Source organism: Homo sapiens, chromosome 8, assembly GCF_000001405.40.
Source record: "Homo sapiens chromosome 8, GRCh38.p14 Primary Assembly".
NCBI classification, from domain to species: Eukaryota; Metazoa; Chordata; class Mammalia; order Primates; family Hominidae; genus Homo; species Homo sapiens.
Window position 1 is genome coordinate 23,238,957 of NC_000008.11, and position 24,437 is coordinate 23,263,393.

At 46.2% G+C, this 24,437-nt stretch overlaps 1 protein-coding gene across 5 annotated transcripts, besides 4 other annotated features; it reads left to right on the forward strand.

The window, feature by feature from the left end:
• Positions 4,373 to 4,874: an enhancer, noted in NCBI's record as "NANOG hESC enhancer chr8:23100842-23101343 (GRCh37/hg19 assembly coordinates)". NCBI's record gives its function as "activates a minimal SCP1, AML or CMV promoter by ChIP-STARR-seq in naive H9 embryonic stem cells {active_cell/tissue: H9 hESC(naive)}" and the evidence as "EXISTENCE:reporter gene assay evidence [ECO:0000049][PMID:30033119]".
• On the forward strand, positions 4,681 to 23,043 carry CHMP7 (charged multivesicular body protein 7). 5 transcript variants are annotated; one of them, NM_152272.5, is made up of 11 exons: positions 4,681 to 4,888; positions 7,300 to 8,038; positions 10,254 to 10,425; positions 16,291 to 16,476; positions 17,504 to 17,637; positions 19,077 to 19,125; positions 19,374 to 19,493; positions 19,776 to 19,874; positions 20,110 to 20,170; positions 21,188 to 21,367; positions 21,582 to 23,043. In NM_152272.5, exons 2-11 carry the CDS (start codon positions 7,740 to 7,742, stop codon positions 21,641 to 21,643), a joined length of 1,362 nt encoding a protein of 453 aa, NP_689485.1. In that variant the 5' UTR covers positions 4,681 to 4,888; positions 7,300 to 7,739; the 3' UTR covers positions 21,644 to 23,043. The 5 variants fall into 5 exon arrangements, with proteins under 5 accessions (NP_689485.1, XP_047278372.1, NP_001304828.1 ...); XM_047422416.1 differs by lacking the exon at positions 20,110 to 20,170; NM_001317899.2 differs by lacking the exon at positions 4,681 to 4,888 and having other exon boundaries at positions 7,685 to 7,868.
• Positions 7,444 to 7,693: an enhancer, noted in NCBI's record as "active region_27113". NCBI's record gives its function as "activates an Ori minimal core promoter by ATAC-STARR-seq in GM12878 lymphoblastoid cells {active_cell/tissue: GM12878}" and the evidence as "EXISTENCE:reporter gene assay evidence [ECO:0000049][PMID:35858748]".
• Positions 7,714 to 8,223: a silencer, noted in NCBI's record as "silent region_19022". NCBI's record gives its function as "represses an Ori minimal core promoter by ATAC-STARR-seq in GM12878 lymphoblastoid cells {active_cell/tissue: GM12878}" and the evidence as "EXISTENCE:reporter gene assay evidence [ECO:0000049][PMID:35858748]".
• Positions 8,497 to 8,546: an enhancer, noted in NCBI's record as "active region_27114". NCBI's record gives its function as "activates an Ori minimal core promoter by ATAC-STARR-seq in GM12878 lymphoblastoid cells {active_cell/tissue: GM12878}" and the evidence as "EXISTENCE:reporter gene assay evidence [ECO:0000049][PMID:35858748]".
• Positions 23,044 to 24,437: the final 1,394 nt, after the last annotated feature.

Here is a 24,437-nt window from a genome sequence, read left to right on the forward strand (position 1 = left end):
TCTGATTGTCTCCTTTGGAAAGGCTAATCAGAAACTCAGAATAATGCAACCGTTTATCTCTCACCTATCTGTGACCTGGAAGCCCTCTGTGATGATTAATACTGCCTGTCCACTTGATTGGATCGAGGGATGCAAAGTATTCATCCTGGGGGTGTCTGTGTGGGTGTTGCCAAAAGAGATTAACATTTGAGTCGGTGGGCTGGGGAAGGCAGATCCACCCTTAATCTGGTGGGCACAATCTAATCAGCTTCCAGTGAATATAAAGCAGGCAGAAAAACATGAACAGGAGAGATGGGCCTAGCCTCCCAACCTACATCTTTCTCCTGTGCTGGCTGCTTCCTGCCCTTGAACATGAACGTCTGACTCCAAGTTCTTCAGTTTTGGGACTCGGACTGACACTCCTTGCTCCTCAGCTTGCATACAGCCTATTGTGGGACTTATGATCGTGCAAGTTAATACTTAAGAGACTCCTCTTTATATATATCCTGTTAGTTCTATCCCTGTAAGATAACCCTGACTAATACATCCCTTTTCCGCTTTTAGTTTTCCTGCCTTTGCTTCAAGTTGTCCTACCTTTCCAGACCAAACCAATGTACTTCTTACATATATTGATTGATATCTCATGTCTCCCTAAAATGTGTAAAACAAAGCTGTGCCCTGACCTCCTTGGGCACATGTCCTCAGGCCTTCCTGAGTCTGTGTCATGAGCACACGTCTTCAGCTTGGCAAAATAAACCTTTTTTTTTTTTTTTTTGAGATGGAGTCTTGCTCTGTTGCCCAGGCTGGAGTGCAGTGATGTGATCTCCGCTCACTGCAAGCTCTGCCTCCCAGGTTCACGCCATTCTCCTGCCTCAGCCTCCCGAGTAGCTGGGACTACAGGCACCTGCCACCATGCCCGGCTAATTTTTTGTATTTTTAGTAGAGACGTGGTTTCACCGTCTTAGCCAGGATGGTCTCGATCTCCTGACCTGGTGATCTGCCCACCTTGGCCTCCCAAAGTGCTGGGATTACAGGCGTGAGCCACCGCGCCCGGCCAGCAAAATAAACTTTCTAAATTAACTGAGACCCGTCTCAGATATTCTGGGCCCATATTTAATAACCATAAAGGGATTCTGAGTGGAATGCTCCCCACCTCTGACAAATCTAGCCTCTGACAAGCTAGATTTGACAAGCACCTATTGGTGCTTGGTACCAGCATGAGCTTACTTTATGGCTCAAACCTATGGGACAATTTGCTGAGGTCTGAGAGCAACCCACCCCTCACCCCTCCGCCCCACCAAGAGAATTACTATCTTCCCAAATTTGGTTGAAATCTAAAGTTTATTTTGCTATACAACTTTTTTTTTTTGGAGTTTTACTTGCTTCCAACAAGAAAGGCAAGTTTTCCTGCTTCCATGATGATGGAAGATAGGTAACTCCTTTATGGAGTTTGAGCTCACTTCCAACAGGGAAGGTGAGTTTGTTGTTGTTGTTGTTGTTGTTGTTGTTGTTTTGTTTGTTTTTCTGCTTCTAGGATGGTAGAGAGTGGTCTACAGCCTGAGATCCATTCCTAGATAAGCAACTGAATTGGGGTTTATCTTGGCTAAAGTTAAGATTAAAAACCAGCTGGTCTTTATTTCTCCTTACCATTACAGTGCTCAGGAATTATGTTAAGTTGTGAGATTGTTTGTTTTGCTTAACTTTTTTGTTGTTGTTGATGTTTATTTGTTTCTGTTTTTGTTGTTTCAGTCTTTCTCCCGTTGGGTTTGACCAACTCTGTCCAACTCAATCAAATCCGAAGGAAAGTTCCAAATTATGAGGAACAAGGCCTCTAAAGTGGCTAAATTCCCATACACAAAAAAAGGTGGTATAGTGAGGGGAGAAAAACGGCCAACAAAAGAAAAAAAATAAATAAAAACTTTTTTTTTTTTTTTTGAGACGGAGTCGCTCTCTGTCGCCCGGGCTGGAGTGCAGTGGCGCGATCTCGGCTCACTGCAAGCTCTGCCTCCCGGGTTCACGCCATTCTCCTGCCTCAGCCTCCCGAGTAGCTGGGACTAAGGCACCCGCCACTACGCCTGGCTAATTTTTTTGTATTTTTTGGTAGAGACGGGGTTTCACCGTGTTAGCCAGGATGGTCTGGATCTCCTGACCTGGTGATCTGCCTGCCTCGGCCTCCCAAAGTGCTGGGATTACTGGCTTGAGCCACCGCACCCGGCCGGCAAGAAAAATGTTTTATTTTTATTACTTAAGGGGTTTTATTTACATAACAAAGCCTCCTTTTTGCTAACCAGGCCAAACTGAAAGCAATGGCTGTCCCCCTACTCTGCAGTTCAATAGCTAAGGTTCTGCCTTTTTTTTTCTCCTGTCTTCATGACAGCCTAAGTTTGGTTCCTAAATCAAGTCCTTTCTGGTTTGATAGTTGGTACTTCTGCTTTTTTTTTTTTTTTTTTTTTTTTTTTGAGACAGAGTTCCGTTCTTGTTGCCCAGGCTGGAGTCCAATGGCGTGGTCTCAGCTCACCGTAACCTCCGCCTCCCGGGTTCAAGCAATTCTCCTGCCTCAGCCTCCCGAGTAGCTGGGATTATAGGCATGTGCCTTTTGAATTTCTTAGTAGAGATGGGGTTTCTCCATGTTGGTCAAGCTGGTCTCGAACTCCTGAGCTCAGGTGATCCACCAGCGTCGGCCTCCCAAAGTGCTGGGATTACAGGTGTGAGCCACCGCGCCGGACCAATACTTGGTACTTCTGAAATAGCAGCAATTTGTCCTAGCTGAAATATAATAATAAAATTTTGAATTTTTTTTTTTTGAGACAGAGTCTTGCTCTGTCGCCAGGCTGGAGTGCAGTGGCACGATCTTGGCTCACTGCAAACTCTGCCTCCCGGGTTCAAGCGATTCTCCTGCCTCAGCCTCCTGAGTAGCTGGGACTACAGGCGCGTGCCACCACACTCGGCTAATTTTTGTATTTTTAGTGGAGACGGGGTTTCACCATGTTAGCCAGGATGGTCTCCATCTCCTGACCTCATGATCCGCCCGCCTGGGCCTCCCAAAGTCCTGGGATTACAGGCATGAGCCACTGCACCCAGCCCAAGATTTTTTATTTTTAAAGACACTCAATAGTTAAAAGTCAACTTAATTAAAAGCTAATATTTAAAATGTATGTGTATGTGTATGTGTGCATAAGTGCATGTTCATATTTAAAAGGCCTTCATGGTTTTGTTTTTGTTTTTCTCTGCTAGGACCTTGTCTTTTTTTGAGCAAAAACTTTTTTTGTTCTCAATTGACTCAATTCTGTTTCCACTCGATTTTTTTTTTTTTTTTTACTAAAATAGTTATTGCAACAGAGGCTACTCTTGGGTTTTTAAGAAAGAGTATAGTTTAGACACTTAGAAATGCTTTGTTTACAAAAATGTTTTAAGTGCACTGTAAAAGCATCATGTGGTCTAGCCTCATAATAATTCTCCCTTTTTGGAGACCCAGGATTCAGTGTGGGCTCTGCCCAGAGCTCAGAGATCCAGTTAAAAAAGAATTGGTAGTCCCTATCTAAATAACAGTGGTCTCCTTATACAATCCAGTGATAAATTTCTATAATTTTATGTTCAATTGGCAATTAAATCTGTTTTAATTTCCCTCTAGCTCACAGAATTTCTCTTCAGACCTTATAATGTAAATTTTGCTATCTGACTTTCACCTGAGTTGTTTCCTTTAATATGCAAATTTAAGACTATTTAGCTGACTACTGCCTAGCACTGTGAAACAGGTTATCAAGAATCTGAAAGTCTAAGATAAAGAAAAAAGGTTTTTATGAATCTGTAAGATGTACTTCTTCTATCAGCATGCCTAATACATCTATGTATTTATATGTTATGTATACAATGTTGCACTCCTGAAAATATATCAAAGAGCTCTAATTAATTGTCTTAAAAAATAAAAGCATTTACATCAAATACTTTATTAGAAAAAGGAAAGACTAGTCAAATGCTTTTTCAAGTTATGTGACTTAAGTAAAATCTTTAATAAATAAGCTATCTTTAAAATTATTGGTAAAGTAATATTAGAAATGTCTTAGGAATTGCCAGCATACATTTTTATTTGCGTTTATTAATCAAGCAATTTCATACTTAACCCTGCCAAATACTATTAGGTGTCAAAATTTGGCACAGGCTATAAACCCAGCCCAAGACAGAATGATCTCTGCTCGTGTAACCATTAATAAATAAGACATTGATACTGGTTTAATGAAAATAGCTACATCTTGATTTAGTAAAATTACCATAACTTCTAATCTTGTGGCAGTCTAGGCAGTCTAGTCCACAGGCAGTAAGGAGTTTTGTTTTGGGAAAGGACTGTTATACTTTGTTTCAAAGTTAAACTATAAGTAAACTTGCATGGGAAGAGAATGTTTAATTTTGTGAAAAACGACCAAACTGTCTTCCAAAGTAGCTCTTAGAGACAACCTGTCCACAGAAGAACGCAGCAAGCCCCCTCCCCTAAATGCCCTGCAGCTTATTTCTTCTGAGATGCTGCCCCTACTTCACGTTACCAGAACTTAGGTACAGCTGTATCCACCCCCAGGCCAAACCACATCCTGGTACTCTAAGCCAGGTGGGGCAAGAAGTGACAAACAACTGCAGGATGTAGACTAACCTCAGAAAGCCCCTAGGCCCTCAAAGCCCTATATAAGTCCCTCACCTTAAACACCCTGGGCTGCCTCCTCTGACTGTTATGCAGCAGGCCGGCAGGTCAATAAACTTGCTTGCCTGACTTTGAGTATACTCGTCTTTTCTCTTGGCCAACCTTACGGTAGCTGTACCAGTTTGCATTTCCACCAGCAATGAATGAGAGTTCCTGTTGCTCTGCATCCTCACCAGCATTTGGTGTGGTCAGTATTTTGGATTTTCACCATTCTAATAGGTGTGTAGTAGTATGCTATTCTTGTCTAATTTGCTGTTCCCCAATGACATATGATGTTGGGCATATTATCATATACTTATTTGCCGTTGGTAGATCTTCTTTGGTGAGAGGTCTGCTCAGATCTTTTATCCATGTTTTAACTGGGTTATTCTTTTTCTTTTTTTTTTGAGTCTTAAGAGTTCCTCGTGTGTTTTGGATAACAGTCCTTTATCAGAGATGTCTTTTGCAAATAGTTTCTACCAGTCTGTGGCTTATCTTCACATTCTCTTCACAGTGTCTTTCAGAAAGCAAATAATAATAATAATAATAATTACGTCTAATTTATCAATTATTTCTTTCATGGATTATGCTTTTTGTGTTGTATCTAAAAAGTAATCATGATGCCCAAGGTCATCTAGATGTTTTGTCTTCTAGGAGTTTTATTGTTTTGTGTTTTTACATTTAAGTCCATGATCCATTTGAGCTGGCTTTTGTGAATGGTGTAAGATCTGTACCTGGATTTGTTTTTGTTTTTGCATGTAGGTGTACAGTTGTTCCAGTGCTCATTGTTGAAAAGACTCTTTGAACCATTGTATTGCCTTTCTTTTTTCGAAAGGTCAGTTGACTGTATTTACATGTGCCTATTTCTGGGATTCCTATTCTGTTCCATTTATCTATTTGTTTATTCTTTAACTAATACCACACTATCTTGATTACTGTTGATTTATAGTAATTCTTGAAGTTGGGTTGTATCCGTCCTCTGACTTATTTGTTCAATATTGTGTTGGCTCTTCTGGGTCTTTTGCCTTTCCACATAAACTTTAGAATTAGTTTGTTGATATCCACAAAATAACTAGCCATGATTTTCACTGGGATTTCACTGGATCTACAGATCAATTTGGGAAGAATTGATATCTTGATAATATTGAGTTTTCCTGTCCATGAATATAAAATGCCTCTGTATTTATTTAGTCCTTCATAGATTTCTTTCATCAGAATTTTGTAGTTTTCCTTATGTAGAATTTGTACATACCGTGTTAGATTTATACCTAAGTTTTATAGGGGGGTGCTAATGTAAATGGTATTGCATTTTTAATTTCATATTCCACTTGATCATTATAGGTATATGGGAATTGACTTTTATACATTAACTTTGTATCTGCAATCTTGTTCTCATTGCCTCTTAGTTCCAGGACATCGATTTGGCAATTCTTTCATAATTTTCTGCATGGATAATTATGTCTTCTATAAAGACAGACCATTTTATTTCTTCCTCTTCAGTCTGTACAACTTTTATTTCTTTTTCTTGGCTAACTGTGTTAGCTAGGATTTCCCGTACAGTGTTGACTAGGAATGGTGTGAGCAGACATTCTTGTGTTATTCCTGATTCCACTGGAAAACGATCTAGGTTTTCACCATTAATTCTTATGTTGGCTGTAAGGTTCCTGTTTATGTTCTTTATCAAGTGGAGGATGTGTCCCTCTATTCCTAGAGTGCCGAGACTTTTTATCATGAGCTGGTGTTGGATTTTGTCAAATGCTTTTTCTGCATCTAGCAATATGATCATATGATTTTTCTTTAGTCTGTTGGTGGATTATATTAATTGATTTTTGAACATTGAACTAGCCTTGCCTAGCTGTAATAAATTCCGCTTTAACCTGGTGTACAATTCTTTTGATACATTGTGGGTTTCAATTTGCTAACATTCTATTGATGATTTTTGCATCTATATTCACAAGATATATTGTTTTGTGTTTTTTCTTTCTTGTAATGTCTTTGTGTGGTTTTGGCGTTAGGGTAATCCTTGCCTCATAGGATCAGTTGGGAAGTATTCCTTTTGTTTCTATCTTATAAAAGAGATGGCACAGAACTGGTACAACTTTTTTCTTAAATATTTGGTAGAACTTATCAAATGAAACCATCTGGGCCTAATGCTTTCTGTGTGGATGTTGTTAATTATTGATTCAATTAATTAGATATAAACATATTCAAGTGGTCTGTTTCCTCTTGTGTGTTTTGGCAGAGTGTGCTTTCAAGAAATGTGTCCATTTCGTCTAGGTTATCAAATTTGTGGACATACAGTTATTCATAGTATTCCTTTATTATCATTTTCATGCCCATGGGATCTGCAGTAATGTCCCTTATTTCATTTCTGATATTGAGTATTTGTTTTTTCTCTTTGTTAGCCAGGCTAGAGGTTAATCAATTTCATTGACCTTTTCAAAAAATCAGCTTTAGGTTTTGTTGATAATCTTTTGAGTTTGTTTTCAATTTCATTGATTTCTGCTCTTTTTATTATTTTTTCTCTTCTGTTTAATTTGATCTTAATTTGTTCTTCTTTTATAGATTCCCAAGGTGGAATCTTAGGTTATTTTAGATCTTTCTTCTTTTCTGGTTTGTGCATTCATTGATATAAATTTCCCTCTATACAGAGATTCACGGATCCATCCGGGTGGTCCGGGCACCACTGGCGCCCCTCTGCGGCTATTCCCCAGTTCCATTTTCTGAAGCCACAGGTCAGAAGCCGCTGTACAACGCTTTGCCGAACTCCAGAATCTTGAAGGAGACGTAAGGTGCAGCCACCTGCCGCGCAGGCGCAAGCCTTTCTTTCGGCACAAAGACCGTGGGAGGAGGGGTCGGCGCAAGCGCTCGGTGTCTCTCTGAAAAGAACTTCATCATACTGCCTCCTGGCTGACGGAGCGCAGCGCAACGCATGCGCCTTGAAGACTTATGGAACTTATTTCACGCTCAGGGCGGCGGTGACGTGTGAACGAGAAGGAGGTGGTCAAGGAACGGAAGCCGGGAGGGAACGAGGGCGGAAGCGGACCAGGGCCAGGCTTGTGTTCGCAGCCTTGCCGGGGCTGGGGTTCCGATGTGGTCCCCGGAGCGGGAGGCCGAGGCCCCAGCCGGGGGAGACCCGGCGGGCCTTCTGCCCCCCGAGTGGGAGGAGGACGAGGAGCGCATGTCCTTCCTGTTCTCCGCTTTCAAGAGGAGTCGCGAGGTGAACAGCACCGACTGGGACAGCAAGATGGGCTTCTGGGCGCCGTTGGTGCTGAGCCACAGCCGCCGCCAGGGGGTGGTGCGCCTGCGTCTGCGGGACTTGCAGGAGGCCTTTCAGCGCAAGGGGAGCGTCCCGCTGGGGCTGGCCACGGTGCTGCAGGACCTGCTGCGGTGAGGGGCGGGCTGGGGCCAGGGCCGCGAGGGCGGGCGGGGGCAGCTCTCGGAGGGCCGGGCCCTGGTCCTGTTCTCTGCACAGCGCACTGCGCCCAGCCCAGTGTCTGGCCCAGAGAAGGCATCCAGTGTGTGTTCAGAAGGCGAAGAAGGAAAATAAGGAGGCTGGGCTAGGGAGGCTTGGAGGGAGAGGAAGAGGGGATCTGGGGGAAGATTGGGGGGCGGGGATAGTCCGATTAGACGAGTTCCAGAGAAGCCAGCCTAACAGAGGTGACAGTAATTTGCCTGGACTGGGACCCCGTTATGTTGTTGTTTCCTAAGGGCCTCCAAATTTGAATGGCCCGTGGAGCAGAAGGTCTAAGAGATAGGATTCATTAACCTAGGGAAGGTTAGAGCTAAAAAGCGGGCATTCGTGGGGAAGAGGCCTGTAGGCATCTTGCCAACAACCCCTGGCACAGCTCATTCGTCTGGCTTGTCCTTGGCACAGGCTTTTTGGAGCAGAGAGGACGTGAAGGAGAATGAGGGCTTTGCTGAGTATCTGAGTGCCCTTAAAAGGTCTGTAGGAGATACGTGTGCGACAGGTGCAGTTTTGGCGGTATCTGAGGGTAACATTGATAACTAATACATGTACAGTACTTCCCAGCATGCAGATACTTTGCATGCACCATTTGACCCACTCAGCGGTCTTGTGGTGAGGTGATAGAATTATCCTCAGCAGACAGAAGAGGAAACTGAGTTTCAGAGAGATCAAGTGACTTACTCAGAGTTACACAGCTAGTTAAAGGTGATACCGGGACTGGATCCCTGGTCTTTGGATAAGTCATTTGCACTTCAGTGTACTTATCATTCTGAGACCAGCCTAGCGTGATACCTCTCTCAGTGAGGGAAGGAGAAAGTCAACTCTGATGTTTTTTGTTTGGTTGGTTTTTTTTTTTTTTTAGTTTGCTGCTCTTTCTGATTAAGAGATCTCCCTTCTCTACTTTTGTTCCCAGTACCTTCCCATTGGACTGGACATTGATATTGCCCAGGATGGTCTCGAACTCCTGCACTCAAGCGATCCTCCCACCTCAGCCTCCCAAAGTGTTAAGATTACAGGCGTTGAGCCACTGCACCTGGCCAACGAGGCTTTCTGAGATGGCATACAGTGGAAACCGTTTTCGTTCATGCCTGAAGCAGGGAACAGGAGAAACAGTAGTTGAAGAAGTCAGTGAGGGAAGGGACCAGAATGGGCCTCCTTACTGTATTGGAAGTGGATCATCTTCCACTTCCAATTCAGACACTTTAATACCTCTATGGTGGTATTAAAGTCTCTTCTCCTGACTGCTGGTGCTCCACTGAAGCTTCCTGGTGCTTGCCTGGGTCCTGAAGAATTTCTGAGGATGATACTTCTCCACGGAGGCGACGTGGCATAGTATTAGTATTAAAAGCAGTGTCAAAAATCACAATTACTTTTGCACCAACCTAATAGTTAACAGCTTTTGCTTGAGGGCCGGCTGGCCTAGGCCTGAATCCTGGCTCTGCCATTTGCTAAATTATGTGGCCCTGCACAAATTTTATGCTGTCTTTAGCAATCAGTTTGACGAATTCTAAAATGGTGATGATAATTGTACCTAGGTTTATTGTGAGGATTTGAAGAGATATTCCTTATATAGCCTTCAGCGTAGTGACTGGCCCGCGGCAAGCATTTAATAAATTGAGCTGCTGTTACTGTTACCAGCACCACCAAATAGTTACATCGTATCCTCACCCTTGCCTTGGAAGAGCAAGAAGTCCTTCTCTGTACATCTTTGTTTTCTTTCTTATGTCTTGCACTCGACAGTGATTTATTTTCATTTTATTGTTTTGAGCACCAATTGTAAAAGGAGATCTCACCGAAGGCCCAGAAGCCGCCTGTGTTTCTGTTGCCTTAGTGGAGCACTTGCCTTTTGGTTCCAGACCTATCATGGTGTAAATTTGGCCTCTCTGCTTACCTTCTGAGTCCCTCAGTTTTCTCATTCGTTAAAATGCTCATAATACCGCCTCCCATGCAGAAGTGTTGTGACGCTTAGAGCTGGAGTATAAACAATGCTGCGTGTCGTTGGCACAGCGTAGGTGCTTAACAAATGGTCGTGATGATAATGATAAAATTCCTCTTTTAGGGTAAAGGGGGAGCTAGAGACTGGAATGGGACATTGCATTAAGTGCTACTACACGCCCTTCTTTTTCTTCCCTGCAGTCGAGGGGAGCTGCAGCGGGAGTCAGACTTCATGGCCAGTGTAGACAGCAGCTGGATCTCCTGGGGGGTTGGGGTCTTCCTGCTGAAGCCTCTCAAGTGGACTCTTTCTAACATGCTGGGAGATAATAAGGTTCCAGCTGAGGAGGTCCTTGTCGCTGTGGAGCTGTTGAAGGTGGGTACTCAGAAGGGGGTGTCTGGGTGTCACCTGGTGTGATCACAGCATCCTCCACGTCCCTTGTGTGCGTTCTTGAAAAAAGACCGTCTCTTTTTTTACATGGCTACTGAGTTGATAACTGAGTTTATCTGCTCTCCCTTGTACTTGCACTTTGTAATATTCATTAGTGGGACTTGTACATTTCAAGGGGTTAGCCTTTGTGTCGGAATTTTCAGTTAACAGTGGATTATTTTCTAGTATCTGTAGGGATTAATGTTAAGCAGCAGTTTAGGAAATGCTTTGCCTTCTGTAGTTTACTGACAAGAGTTTCTCAGGATTCCTGAGGACCTTGTGGCTTTCAGCATTGCCACCTCTAAACTGGCCCACTCAGCTCCACTTTCCTACTTTGTGACCGTGCCCTTTCCCCTTCCAGCTTTCTGATGGCCTGCCTTCTGCTGCACATGCTCTTCTCCCTCGAAGAGGCCACTGGGGCCATGGTCCCGTCCTAGCCTCCTGGTCAGTCAGCCTCCTCCCGGCCTGCCTTTCCCACAGCCTTGATCGCATGGCTCATTGCTCCACTCCCTTCCTCAGCAACACCCTCAGCTCCTTTGCATCTCCTTTGGTCCACACCAGGAGACTCCCAGCAGATCCGTAGCCCTCGATCAGCCACATGGGGTTTACCACCCCTGCTGGAGAAAATCGCCTGTCATCAGACTGCGGTCCCCTTCATGGTCCCCAGCTGTGGGAGGCCCTCGGAGCCACACCACAGCCTTATTTTTCTTTCTCTCTGTCCCCTCACACGCTCATTCCATCCTGTGTCCTCTTTGCTCTCTGCGGGCACTTCACTGAGAAAGTAGACTCAGCATTCCTGAGTCGGTCTACAGTTTTCTGTCCTCTTACCCCAAGCCTGACCTCCTCAGAGCCCACCTCCTCCTGTGCTCAGAGTGTAGTGTCCTTCCTCTGCCTCTCGTCTGCTCTGCGTCTACCCTGCCCCTCTTGTCCCTTTGTCCCATCGGCTGGCCTCTTGCCTGGTATGTTCCATCTCACTCTCAGCCTGTAAACCCAAACCCACTCAATGCTTTTCCGAACACCGATTGTCTCTTTTGTGGTACCTGGGCCCTGCCTAGTGACTGCTGTTTCCTTCTCAACCGACCTTTGTGTCACCACTTCCTACCTCCCATTCACTCTGTCATCTGGTGCAGACCTGCTTCAACCACCCCCTCCACCCAGACTGCTGTGGATGAGGTGATAGGGGCCTGTGTGTGTGTGTGTGTGTGTGTGTGTGTGTGTGTGTGTGTGTGTTGACTGAGCACCTGGTGACCAAAGGACACTGCAGAGAATAGTTATTTTTGAAATTCACAGACCAAGCCTGACCTCAGGGCCCTTGCATAGCCCTAGAGGCTTCACACAGCTGGAGCCAGCCCAGAATCCCCACGCCTCACCCCGGGAGAAGCACCCATTTCTCCTCACCTTGAGAGACTCCAGCCCACTCTGCCTCAGATTGAGGAAGAGGTCTCCAAAATCTGCCAATCTCTCCCTGTCTCCCAGGATTGTTGACTAAGCAGCCCACATTTTCTTCAGGGCAGCCCCTCTGCTCCATCTGCACCCCTTCCCCGCACCCATGCAGTTATTCCCCTGCCCAGTGGCCTGGTCTCCAGGGCTCAGTCAGGGTCCCCGCAAAGACTGCAGGATGGTTTGGGTGGTTCTGGGCCAAGCTCAGGTCCTCTCTGCGGTCTTTCTGTCATCTCACATTGTCCTGCAGCCTGGGGCAGAGGAGAGGTAAACCCATGGATCCCCACAGATGAGGTTTGTACTGGCAAACAAAGAAAGCCTGCTGTTGAGGTAAATTTTTTTTCCCAAGTCCAGACAGAGAAACAGCCAGTAACTTTTTACTTTTGGATGGTATTGAAAAATAAAAAAAGCAAAAATTGTCCATTATTTTGTTATTTAAAAAAAATACAAAGAAATGAAAGTTTTCTTTCTGTTCATCCAACTTTTCTCTCTTTGGGTACTCTCTTCCCATTTGTGTGAGAGTGCGTGAGTGTGTATGTTTACAGATTTATGTTTCCTTAATGGCTTTGTCAACTCTAGTTCTTCCTGAAAATCTTATTCACTTGTTTCTTGTCTGTCTTTCCTACTAGAAGGGAACAGTGCCATGGGCCCTGGGACCCTGGGAGCAGTGCCTGATACCTGGTAGACAGTCAATAAATACCTGTTGAGTGAGTGAATACACACGCACAGACACGTGTACACATCACTCCATTTTTTTCTAGAAATGGAATTGGTGTGCACCCTGCTTTGTTTTCTTTCCATTGCATTGTATCAGGTGCCTCTTTCCAGGCCCTACACAGTATGGATTTACTCGATTCTTTTTGATGCCTGCATGATAATCTATCGATATGCCACAATTTATGCAACAGGTGCTCCGCAGATGGACATTTCAATCATTCCAATTTCTCTCTCCATTTTTCCATTACAAAAAAATGCCACTTGTGCAGAGATCTATGTACTTCTCCCTTTATTTTTATGGAATTGATTTTTCGGAAATGCATATGTGCCTTTTCAATTTTAACAAAAATTGCCAAACTACTTTTCAAAAGTTTGTAATAAGTTGCACTTTCATCAAGACTGTATTAGGGAGTCCAGTCTCCCCACATCCTTGTCAGCACGGGATGACATCAGTCTTTTAAATCTTACCAACTTATTGGGAAAAAAAAAATGATACGTCCTGTTTGTGAATTGAGCATTTTTTTCACCTATGTACTAGCCATTTACATATCTCCTTCTGTGAATTGTCTGTTTATATCCTTTCCTGTTTTGTATTGTGTTATCTTTTTTTTTTTTTTGAGATGGAGTTTGTCACCCAGGCTGGAGTGCAGTGGCACGATCTCCGCTCACTGCAAGCTCCGCCTTTCGGGTTCACGCCATTCTCCTGCTTCAGCCTTCCGAGCAGTTGGGACTACAGGTGCCGCCACCACGCCCGGCTAATTTTTTGTATTTTTAGTAGAGATTGGGTTTCACCATGTTAGCCAGGATGGTCTCGATCTCCTGACCTCGTGATCCACCCGCCTTGGCCTCCCAAAGTGCTGGGATTACAGGTGTGAGCCACCGCGCCTGGCCTTATTGTGTTATCTTTTATGTTAATCTGTATTCTTTATGTGTTAGAGATAGATATATATAATGTATTTAGTATTAAGGATGTAAATATTGTTTCTCAGTCTGTTGCTTGCTTACTTTTTATTTATGATGTCTTTTACCCTATAGAAGGTTTCATATTTCTGTAGTCAGATCTCTCAGACTTTTCTGTATGGCTATTGAATTTCAGGTCTTGTTTAGGAAGGCATCTTCTGACTCAAGCTTAACTTATTACTTTGTACTTTAATTTTTTCCGTTTACATTTCCTTCAATACTTATTTTTGTGTATGTGGTGGGGAAAGCTCTATTTTCTTCCAAATGGATAGCCAGTTGTCTCAGTATCTTTTCTTGATGTCGTGTAACATTAATTTATTTGTGTGTGGTTACTGTGCAGTTACTGCAGTGGTTGCATATCTGGTAGGGCAGTCAAATCAATGAAAACTCGATGTCTGTGTCTTATTAGGCTCTTTTCTACCCTTTGGCACTGTTGACGAGTCACTTCTTGAAATGTCCAATTTCCTTGAATTTGTTTACATGACGCTGCAAGTTCTCCTTGATTCCCCCAAAGCAGTCCTTCTGTCTCTCTTTTGTGGCTTCCTTCACTTCCTAAACAGTGGTCTTCCTTCAGCTTATTACTTTCCTCCCTGAATGTCCTTGGGATCTTTGCTGTGGATATGCTGAGGACTTTCAACATTGTATCGCTGTCCTGCTGTCTCCTTTGAGTTTCAGATTTGTATATCCACTGATAGGTTGTATACATAATCTTGGATATAGCTCAGACATCTTATTTATGTATTTATTTATAGACAGAGTCTCACTCTGTTGCCCAGGCTGTAGTGCAGTGGCACAATGTTGGCTCAGTGCAACCTCCGCCTCCTGGGTTCAAGCAATTCTCCTGCCTCAGCCTCTCAAGTAGCTGGGATCACAGGCGCTGCCACCATGGCCAGCTAATTTTTTGTATTTTTTTTAGTGGAGATGGGGTTTCACCCTGTTGGCCAGGCTGGTCTCAAACTCCTGATCTCAGGTGATCCACCCACCTCGGCCTCATAAAGTGCTGGGATTAGAGGCGTGAGGCACACCGTGCCTGGCTTCTCTCAGACATCTTAAAACATCATAACCAAGATGGGATATTTTGTCTTTACTTTAAACTAGGCTTTTCCTCCTGAATTTTTTCCTATTAATAGCATCACATCCACCAGTCACTCAATCCATAGTGACTTTCCACTAGACTTTTTCTTCCAACCCTATATCCAGTTACCAGTGTTATCTTCTGAATTTTGTTTGTCTCCACCACTCCTCTTTCTATGTTTATTATTCAAATAGCCTGTTGTTCAGACCCACATAATCTCTTGTGTAAATGGTCTCCTTGCCTCTAATCTTAACTCTACAATCCATCGTCTCCCAATTGGCAGTTAGCTTTCTGTTAATCTAGCCATGTCAGTTTCCTTCAGTGACCACCCACCATCTACAGAATAAAGGATCATCATAAGATATTACACTTTCTATAATATAGGATATTACACTTTCTATAATATAGGAGTGCTTCTCCTCTCTCTCCTTTCCCCTCTACATTTGTACACGTGCCGCATTGACCCACCCTTCTATGCTCATGTTCCTCTCTCTTCCCGAGATACCCGTTTCACCTCTTCACCTAGGAACTTGCTCACTCTTCAGAATTCTGCTCAACTTTTTTTTTTTTTCAAGAAATCCTGAATCCCCAGGCAGTCCTTCCCTATATTTTCATAGCATCCCATGGACACCTCAGTCTTTCTTGTTTCTGGTAGTAATTTCCATGTATGAGCGAAATGGTGACATTATTTCTTGGAACTTATATTTCTTACTCTTGTCACTAATCTTATCCCATCTGTTTATTATGTACTTTTCTTTGTTTTTTGTTTTGTTTTGTTCTGTTTGAGACAGAGTTTTGCTCTTGTCGCCCAGGCTGGAGTGCAGTGGCGCGATCTCGGCTCACTGCAACCTCCGCCTCCCAGGTTCAAGTGATTCTCCTGCCTCAACCTCCCAAGTAGCTGGGATTACAGGTGCCCGCCATCACATCCAGCTATTTTTTTTTTTTGTATTTTTAGTAAAGACAGGGTTTTGCCATGTTGGCCAGGCTGGTCTCGAACTCCTGACCTCAGGTGATCCTGACCTCAGGTGATCAGCCTCCCAGAGTGCTGGGATTACAGGCATGAGCTGCCACGCCTGGCCCTTTTCCCTTAAGGCTTTTTACAGAGTCAATAATGTTTGTGTTTGCAGTATAGCCAATTGGCAGGAAAATGGAGAGACTACAATTGGAAGGGAATTAGATGTCATTTCATCCACCCTCTTCAGAGAGTGATACTGAGGACTAGTGAGGCTGTGACTGGCCCAAGGTCACCCAGGCTAGGCTGGAAATCAGGCCTCAGCTCTCGTTCACAGCTGTTCTACCTCACCTCACCTCCTCAGTCTTCCCTTGGGAAACCACAGGCCAGTGAGAGGCAGGAGTGTAAAATCCCCGATGGGCGTGCAGCGCAGAGCTGGCTCCCAGCATCTCATGTGCCTCATTTCATGTGGAGTCACCAAACTTTCCTCCAAGGCTTAAAAACACAGATCCTTCCTCCTTTTTGAAAAGCCGCTACTTTGGGGAGGATGGGGTTGGGATTCCCGGGTGCTTGCCTTGTGTGATCATGGTTTTGAAACTCAGGGTCAGGGTCCCTGCATCCCATGGCAGTGGCCAGGGCCTGTCAGCCAATGTTGCCTTTCCCACAGGAAAAGGCTGAGGAGGTGTATCGTCTGTATCAGAACTCGCCCCTCTCCTCCCACCCCGTGGTGGCCCTGTCAGAGCTCAGCACCCTCTGTGCTAACTCCTGCCCAGATGAGAGGACCTTCTACTTGGTGTTGCTGCAGCTGCAGAAGGAGAAGAGGGTCACAGTCCTCGAGCAGAACGGGGAGAAGGTATGGAGGCTCATCTGTTCATTCACTGACTCAGCAGTGATTGATTAAGTACATAGAGTAGTGAGCCCTTATCTCAGATTTTGGTTTCCAGAGTTTCAGTAACCTGCCGTCAACCACGGTCCAAAAATAATAAGTGGAAAATTCCAAACATTAACAGTTCCATAGATTTCAGTTGTGCACTGTTCTGAGTAGTGTGATGGGACCTCGTAGTATCCCGCCTGTATGCGCATCCCTGCTTTGTCCAGCATCTCCCCGCCTGAGTCACTTAGGAGTCGTCTCAGTGATCAGATTGACTGTCACAGCATTGCAGTGGTTGTGTTCAAGCCACCCTTATTGTACTTTTTTTTTTTTTTTTTGAGATGGAGTCTTGCTCTGTCGCCCAGCAATGGCGCAATCTGAGCTCACTGCAGCCTCCGCCTCCCGGGTTCAAGCGATTCTTCTGCCTCAGCCTCCCAAGTAGCTGGAATTACAGGCATGCGCCACGGCCCCTGGCTAATTTTTGTATTTTTAGTAGAGAAGGGGTTTCACCAGTTAGCCAGGCTGTCTTGAACTCCTGACCTCAAGTGATCTGCCTGCCTCGGCCTCCCAAAGTGCTAGGATTACAGGTGTAAACCACCGTGCCTGGCCTATTATACTTAATAATGGCCCCAAAGCACAAGAGCAGTGGTGCTGGCAGTCCAGATTTACCAAAGAGAAGCGGTCAAGTGCTTCCTTTAAGTGAAAAGGTAAAAGTTCTGGACCAAATAAGGAAGACCAAATATCATTTGCTGAGTTTGCTAGGATCTACAGTAAGAATGAATCTTCTATAGGAAAAATTGTGAAGAAGGAAAAATGTTTACATAGCTATATGTATAGGGTTCAGTATTCTCTGAGGGTTCAGACCTCCACAGGGGATTCCATTCACTGGAACATATCCCCCATGGATAAGGGGGGCCTGCTGTTCTCACATGCCCACCACCAGCGCTCCTGGTTGGGAATTTCTCAGCCTTTGTGGTAGCAGCAGTAGTAATTTCTCCCTGTCCCTCAGATTGTGAAGTTTGCCCGAGGGCCACGTGCCAAGGTCTCTCCAGTCAATGACGTAGATGTTGGGGTGTACCAGCTGATGCAGAGTGAACAGCTTCTCTCACGCAAAGTGGAGTCCTTATCCCAGGAAGCAGAGAGGTAACTTTTAACCCTGAACTGAGCCTCCTCCCCACTGTTGCTGGCCCCCAGAGCCAGCAAAATGTTAGTATATGTGGGCTTTTAAAAAATAGGTGGGTTTTTTTTTTTTTTAGCTAATTACAAAAGTACTCACTGCTCAATGCAGAAATCATGGAAAGCACAGAATATCACAAAAGAGAAAAAAAAATGAGGCCTCTTTTTTTTTTTTTTTTTTTTTGAGACGGAGTCTCGCTCTGTCACCCGGGCTGGAGTGCAGTGGTGCGATCTCGGCTCACTGCAAGCTCCGCCTCCTGGGTTCACGCCATTTTCCTGCGCCAGCCTCCCGAGTAGCTGGTACTACAGCCACCCGCCACCACGCCTGGCGAATTTTTTATATTTCTAGTAGAGATGGGGTTTCACTGTGTTAGCCAGGATGGTCTGAATCTCCTGACCTCGTGATCCGCCCGCCTCTGCCTCCCAAAGTGCTGGGATTACAGGCGTGAGCCACCGTGCCCGGCCTTTTTTTTTTTTTTTTTCCTCAATTGAGACAGGGTCTTGCACTGTCCCCTAGGCTGGAGAGCAGTGACATGATCTTAGCTCACTGCAGTCTAACTCCTGAGCTCAAGCAATCTTCCCGCCTTAGCCTCCTGAGTAGCTGGGACCACAAGTGTGCACCACCATGCCTGGCTAATTTTTAATTTTTTGTTGAGATGGGGTCTCACCATGTTGCCCAGGCTGGTCTCACACTCCTCGGCGCAAACAAGACCCCCACCTCAGCCTCCCAAAGTGCTGGGATTACTGGGGTGAGCCACTGTGCCCAGCTGAAAACGTGAGTCTTAATGCTTCCCCCACAGACCATGACTGTGAATGTTATGTTTATGCTCTTCCTTGCCAGTGTCCATTCAACTAATATTTATTGAGCCAGGCATTGTCTTAGGGACTGGGGATACAGCCGTGGACAAGACAGGTCCCTGCCTTTGCAGAGGTCTTTCTGAGGGGCTCTTCCCCTGCCCTTCCCCCTGAATGACTGTACAAGGAATCCCTAATAAAGACACACCCTCTGGCAGGAGAACACAGACATTGAAGTCTGTCTTCCAGGTGGGAAAGTCTAGCCTTGTTGGGAGGCAGAGGATATGTCCGAGGTCATTGTTGGTGTTAACAGTTCCTTCCCTGTCTCCCCAAAACAGGAAGATGTGTATAATGTGCCCTGTTTGCATGTTCTGTCCCTGTGGGTTGAAAAAGCTTATCCTTAGTCAGCCTGCTTGAGCCTGCCACAACAGACTGTCAACAGACTTGCCACAAGAGTTTTTGCCGTCAGCATCAGTTTTCTTGCCACTGGGTATTGGGTTTAGTCTTCAGATTTAAAACCACCTTAACTGAGTGCTGCTCTCAGGGACCCTTTGGGACCCTGCCACTCCCATCCTGTGGCACAGTAATCTTATCTGTCCCTTTGTTTCCAGGTGTAAAGAAGAAGCCCGCCGGGCATGCCGAGCAGGAAAGAAGCAGCTGGTGAGTTCTTGTCTCCTCCAGACCCATAGCAGTGCCCCAGGCAGGCCTGGAGCAATGCCCAGCAGTTCAGAGAGCAGCTTGCTGGGGTTTTGAGGGGGGTAGAGTCTGCAGGGGGCCCAGGCACCACAGCTTATTTTACAGATGGGAGGGAAGAAAGCTGGGACATCCTTAGCGTCTGGGAAGGGCTGTCTTCCTCTTGCCCTTTGGCTCGCCCAGTTCAGCACTGACCTAAGTCTCCATGCCTCCAGGCACTGAGGTCTCTCAAGGCCAAGCAACGGACAGAGAAGCGCATCGAGGCCTTGCATGCCAAGCTGGACACTGTTCAAGGCATCCTGGACCGGATCTATGCCTCCCAGACAGATCAGATGGTAGTCACTCCCCTCTACTCCAGCACTTGGCTGGTCTCTCCGTGTGTGTTGGTCACTTGCAGCTTCGGCTTGGCTGTTTGGAGGATCCCTGGGTTCTTTCGGGATGTGGCTGGGGTTGCCTTTGCCTTTCCAGTCAGGAGGTTTGGCCTCGGTGGGTATAGGGTAAATTGAGCTTGGGTGCCAAAAAAAACACCCCAAAGCTGCCTTTTGGAGTTGAAACAATATTGTATGTATTTTGCCAAATGTCTGTCATTTGCACTGATAGCTTTGCTTTGTCTTTAGGTTTTTAACGCCTACCAGGCTGGGGTAGGAGCACTCAAACTCTCCATGAAGGATGTCACAGTGGAGAAGGCAGAGAGCCTCGTGGATCAGATCCAAGAGGTACAGAAAGGGGCCAGGGAGGGACACACAGAGAAGGAGGTGACAGAGGACAGATTTGACTTCATTGCACATCCTCTTTAACGAAACCTGACTTGTGACCTTGTGAACTTGAGGAAGCTTTCCTTGATTCTCACTTGGGGCAGGATTGCTTTGTAACCCTAGATATTTTCCACCAAAGACTGAGATGCTCAGAGCCACCATGCCCAGCTCAAGGCTTTGCACTTGTCTCTTACAGCTCTGTGACACCCAGGATGAAGTTTCTCAGACTCTGGCTGGTGGGGTAACAAATGGCTTAGGTGAGTGGACAAGGTGGTTATTTTTATTTTTATTCATTTTTTTTTTTTTTTTTTTTTTTTGAGACGGAGTCTCGCTCTGTCGCCCAGGCTGGAGTGCAGTGGCGGGATCTCGGCTCACTGCAAGCTCCGCCTCCCGGGTTCACGCCATTCTCCTGCCTCAGCCTCCCAAGTAGCTGGGACTACAGGCGCCTGCCACTATGCCCGGCTAATTTTTTGTATTTTTAGTAGAGACGGGGTCATTTTTTTTTTTTTTAGATGGAGTCTCACTCTGTCACCTAGGCTGGAGTGCAGTGACGCATTCTCGGCTCGCTGCAACCTCCGCCTCCTGGGTTCAAGTGATTCTCCTGCCTCAGCCTCCTGAGTAGCTGGGATTATAGGCGCCCGCCACCACGCCTGGCTAATTTTTGTATTTTTAGTAGAGATGGGGTTTCACCTGTTGGTCAGGCTGGTCTGGAACTCCTGACCTCGTGATCCGCCGGCCTCGGCCTCCCAAAGTGCTGGGGTTACAGGTGTGAGCCACCACACCTGGCCCAAGGTGAGTGTTTCTTCCTTTCATCCTGGAAGACTTCGCTTCCCTGTGCTGTGATGAGTTTGACAGTAGATTTGCTTTTCCGGGTGCAGGCAGGCCTCTCCTAGCCTGCCCTCCCTGGGGCTCATCTGCGGGAGCAGTCAGGGAATTGCCATTTCCTCCTCGACAGCTGTGCTCATGACCCATCTGTGCTGCGGCATTCCTCATTCACAAGGCTTCTGACTGGAGGATCCTCCTTCAAGGGCAGTGGGAATCAGGGTCAGGTCCATGGTGTTAACAGAATACACCTCCTTGGTGACTTAGCTTGGAGTGTGGAAGAATCATCTCTGCTTGAAGCTACCCTCCTGACTTCCGGGATTTTTTTTTAATCTGCAAGGAGGCCTGGCATCTTTTGTAAAGCTAAGCGGGTTTTGGTAACCTCAGTCCTGTACTCATTAATGCATTTCTCCCTTGAGTTTATGCATCTTTATGTTGTCTTTTCTTTCCAGATTTTGACAGTGAAGAACTGGAGAAGGAATTGGACATCCTCCTTCAGGATACCACCAAAGAACCTTTGGATCTGCCTGACAACCCCCGCAATAGGCATTTTACCAACAGCGTGCCTAACCCTAGGATCTCAGATGCTGAACTTGAAGCTGAACTTGAGAAACTGTCCTTATCAGAGGGAGGTATGGAGCTGTTTTCCAAGGCCTTTGGAGGGCATATGGCCTTCTGGCTGACAGAGTTGATGGGCCCAAGCCCAATTACTCCATTTGCCAGAGTACCAGAGCCCTGTAGGGAGTTGAGGGTTGTTTATATTAAGACTCAGTCTCTTAATCACTGGAATGCCTTCATCTTCAAGATTTTCCTGTTATAGTGTTCAGTCATTTCTTTGCCTTGCAGGTTTGGTCCCAAGCAGTAAATCTCCAAAAAGGCAATTGGAACCGACTCTAAAGCCATTGTAGGACCCTCAAGTGAAGGACCCTCATGTAAAAGAGAGACCAGGCTTGCTGGGTGTGTACATAGTTATTTAAACAAGAAACTCTCAGAATGTGTTTGGAAGAGGAGAAAGGAGAACCACTGATTTTATCTGGATGCTACTACTTACTACAGGACAGATAGAATTTCTGGAAGCGATGCTCCAAAGGCTTGCTCCCAGCTGTATCATGGACCTGCCTTCTCATCTTTATAGTGCCACGATTTATACAGTCCTGTGTCTGACCTGTCATTTCATAGCCTGCAGTTCTTGCCATTGGCACACTTAGATTTGTCTTCACCCACCAGCTTCGTTCCAGCCCATGAAGGGGAAAGATTTGCAGCTTTGCCAAATCTGAATCAGTTCCCACTCCCCCCTGCGGTTTTTTAGAGGGGTTTATCCTGTCGCTAATGTCAGTTAAATAGCTTATTCCTGTCCCACTTGATTTCACTGGTAAGAATGAGAATGAAATACTTAAAGGTTTTATTTGAGGGGACTTAGCTGCCATTTTATGGAAAAACATGTAGTATAAAAGGTTTTTCTCCAGGGTCATTTGACAGAATTCTCCAGGTGTTCAGAGAAAGAGGTCGCCCCAAGTGGCCCAGAGTCGTGACAGTCCGGAGGGGCTGGTGTGGCCGGTGGGCGCTGCCTCTTCATCTGATGGAGCCAGGAGGTCCGCCGGTGGGGGAAAGGCTTCTTCCGAGGCTTCTGCACTCGCCTGGGAAGAGGCCCAGTCACTACAGGACCCTGAGATGTCCAGACCCCTTATGCAAAGAGGCAAAATTGTTGCCTTGGCCCCATCATGGAGTAACTTAAAAATACATATCTATCTTCCAGAACAAGCCACACAACAACACACCTCCCCTCCTTGAGCCTGGCACACAGCACCGGGCTCTCTGAATTTGGAAAGTGTTTCATTTTGTGGCCTACTGCTCGGGGCAGGGGGGCTGAGCCAGGATGTGCAATAGAAGCAGGGGTTGTCCCCTCTGCCAGATCTGTGGGGAGCTGCCCAGGCCACCCGTGCACCTGTCCTGCTTCCTGCAGTCCCCACTCCCTGCCTCCTTTGAGGGACTGGGGGACTTGGGGTAGGGGGACAGACGGGAAAGGGTCTGAATGCTCTGGCAATGGCGAGAAGAAGCGATCGCCACACTGCCACTCTGCTGCCCAGCCACCAGGATTTCTGCCTGGAGCCCTTTGCCCTGTCCCTGCTGCCTGAGGTGGCGTAGAGCAGAGGAGAAGAATTTGCTCCAGGCCAGGAGCACAAATCGTTGTTCAATGAATTTCTCTCCAACTCGACCTTGGTAAACGGAAATGTTGGGGGTGAAGAGAAACAATCACTATTTTTTTCTTTTTTATCTGGTAAATAATTAAAAGAAAAACCGAACACTTGTCCCGTCTCCTCTTTAGGTTTTATCAAGCGTCTTGTTCCTTGGTGCGTCCCCACGCTTCCAGCTTCTGCACACTTTGGTTCTTTCTCTTAAGGCCACAGGAGAATATGGAGAGCCTGACCGTGTGAGCTTTAAGCTGCGGCAGCTGCTGCTCCATCCAAGTGGCCGCTCTCACTGAGCTCCCCTGGGGAGGACTCATTCTTTGAATGGCCTCCCTGGTTTTAGCAGTGTGCCATTGCTACTGTTTTCCATTGCCTGGGCTCTGTAAGTGGCCTAATTTCTTCTGCCCATGTGATTGTATCATATTTTAGTCTGGCACTGGTATTTCTCAGCCCCTCCTCCAGGGATGGTGTTTGCCACACCCTGTGAGGGAGAGGGGCTTTGAGGCTGAGGGCAGCATTAGGAATAGGCTAAACAACTGGCCGCAGCACTAGGTCTGCAGCTCCAGGTAAGGCAGAGGTGAACTGGCCAGGAAAAGGTGGTGACAGCAGCGGCTCAGAAAGCCCTGGGAGAATCTAAAGGACCTGATGAGAAGGGCGAGGGACTGGAGCTCACAGGCCCTGCGGAAGAGAGGGCAACCGCTCTTCCATTCCTTCTGCTGGAAGGAAGTGGCCTGGACCTGGTGAACCTTGTTAATCTGATTTAAGGTTACTTTTTCTTTCACTGTCCTGAGCCACTGAAGAATCCTTGTTAAATGATCCAGACTTACTCTTTGCTGTGCTACAGGAAATTAAAAGGAGCTGTTGAGTCTGCTTGGAGCAGAGAACAAGAAGGGGTAATCTACAGGACTCTGGTGGTGGCGGCTACAGCTGCCAGCATGGAATTCCCATAGCTGGACAATCAGGGCTGAGTGGCCTCAGGAGTCGGCGCCATGGAGGGATTCACTCCTCTTGAGAGTTTTCTTTTTTAGTGTTTTTTTTTTTTTTGAGACAGGATCTTGCTCTGTCACCCAGGCTGGAGTGCAGTGTGAGATCAGGGGTCACTGCAGCCTCGACCTGGGATCAAGCAATTCTTCACACCTCAGCCTCCCGAGGAGCTGGTACTATAGATGTGCCACCACACCTGGCTAATTTTCTTTATTTTAGTAGAGATGAGGTCTCAAACTCCTGGCCTCAAGAGACCCTCCCACCTAAGCCTCTCAGAGTGCTGGGATTACAGGTGTGAGCCACTGCACCTGGCCAACTTCTCCCTTCTCTTGAATCCTTGCTGCCTCACGACAGGTGTCAGAGCGGCACCACCACACCGCAAAGTGAAGAGATGATGCCGTGCCTGGGAGGGTGGCTGGAGAGTCCCCCATCACTGCTAGTATGGGAACGGTGATGGTATGCAGAGAGGAGGTGTGGTTAGAAGGGTAAGTGGGTATTTGGAGGTGAGGGGAAGGGTGCTACCTGGGAA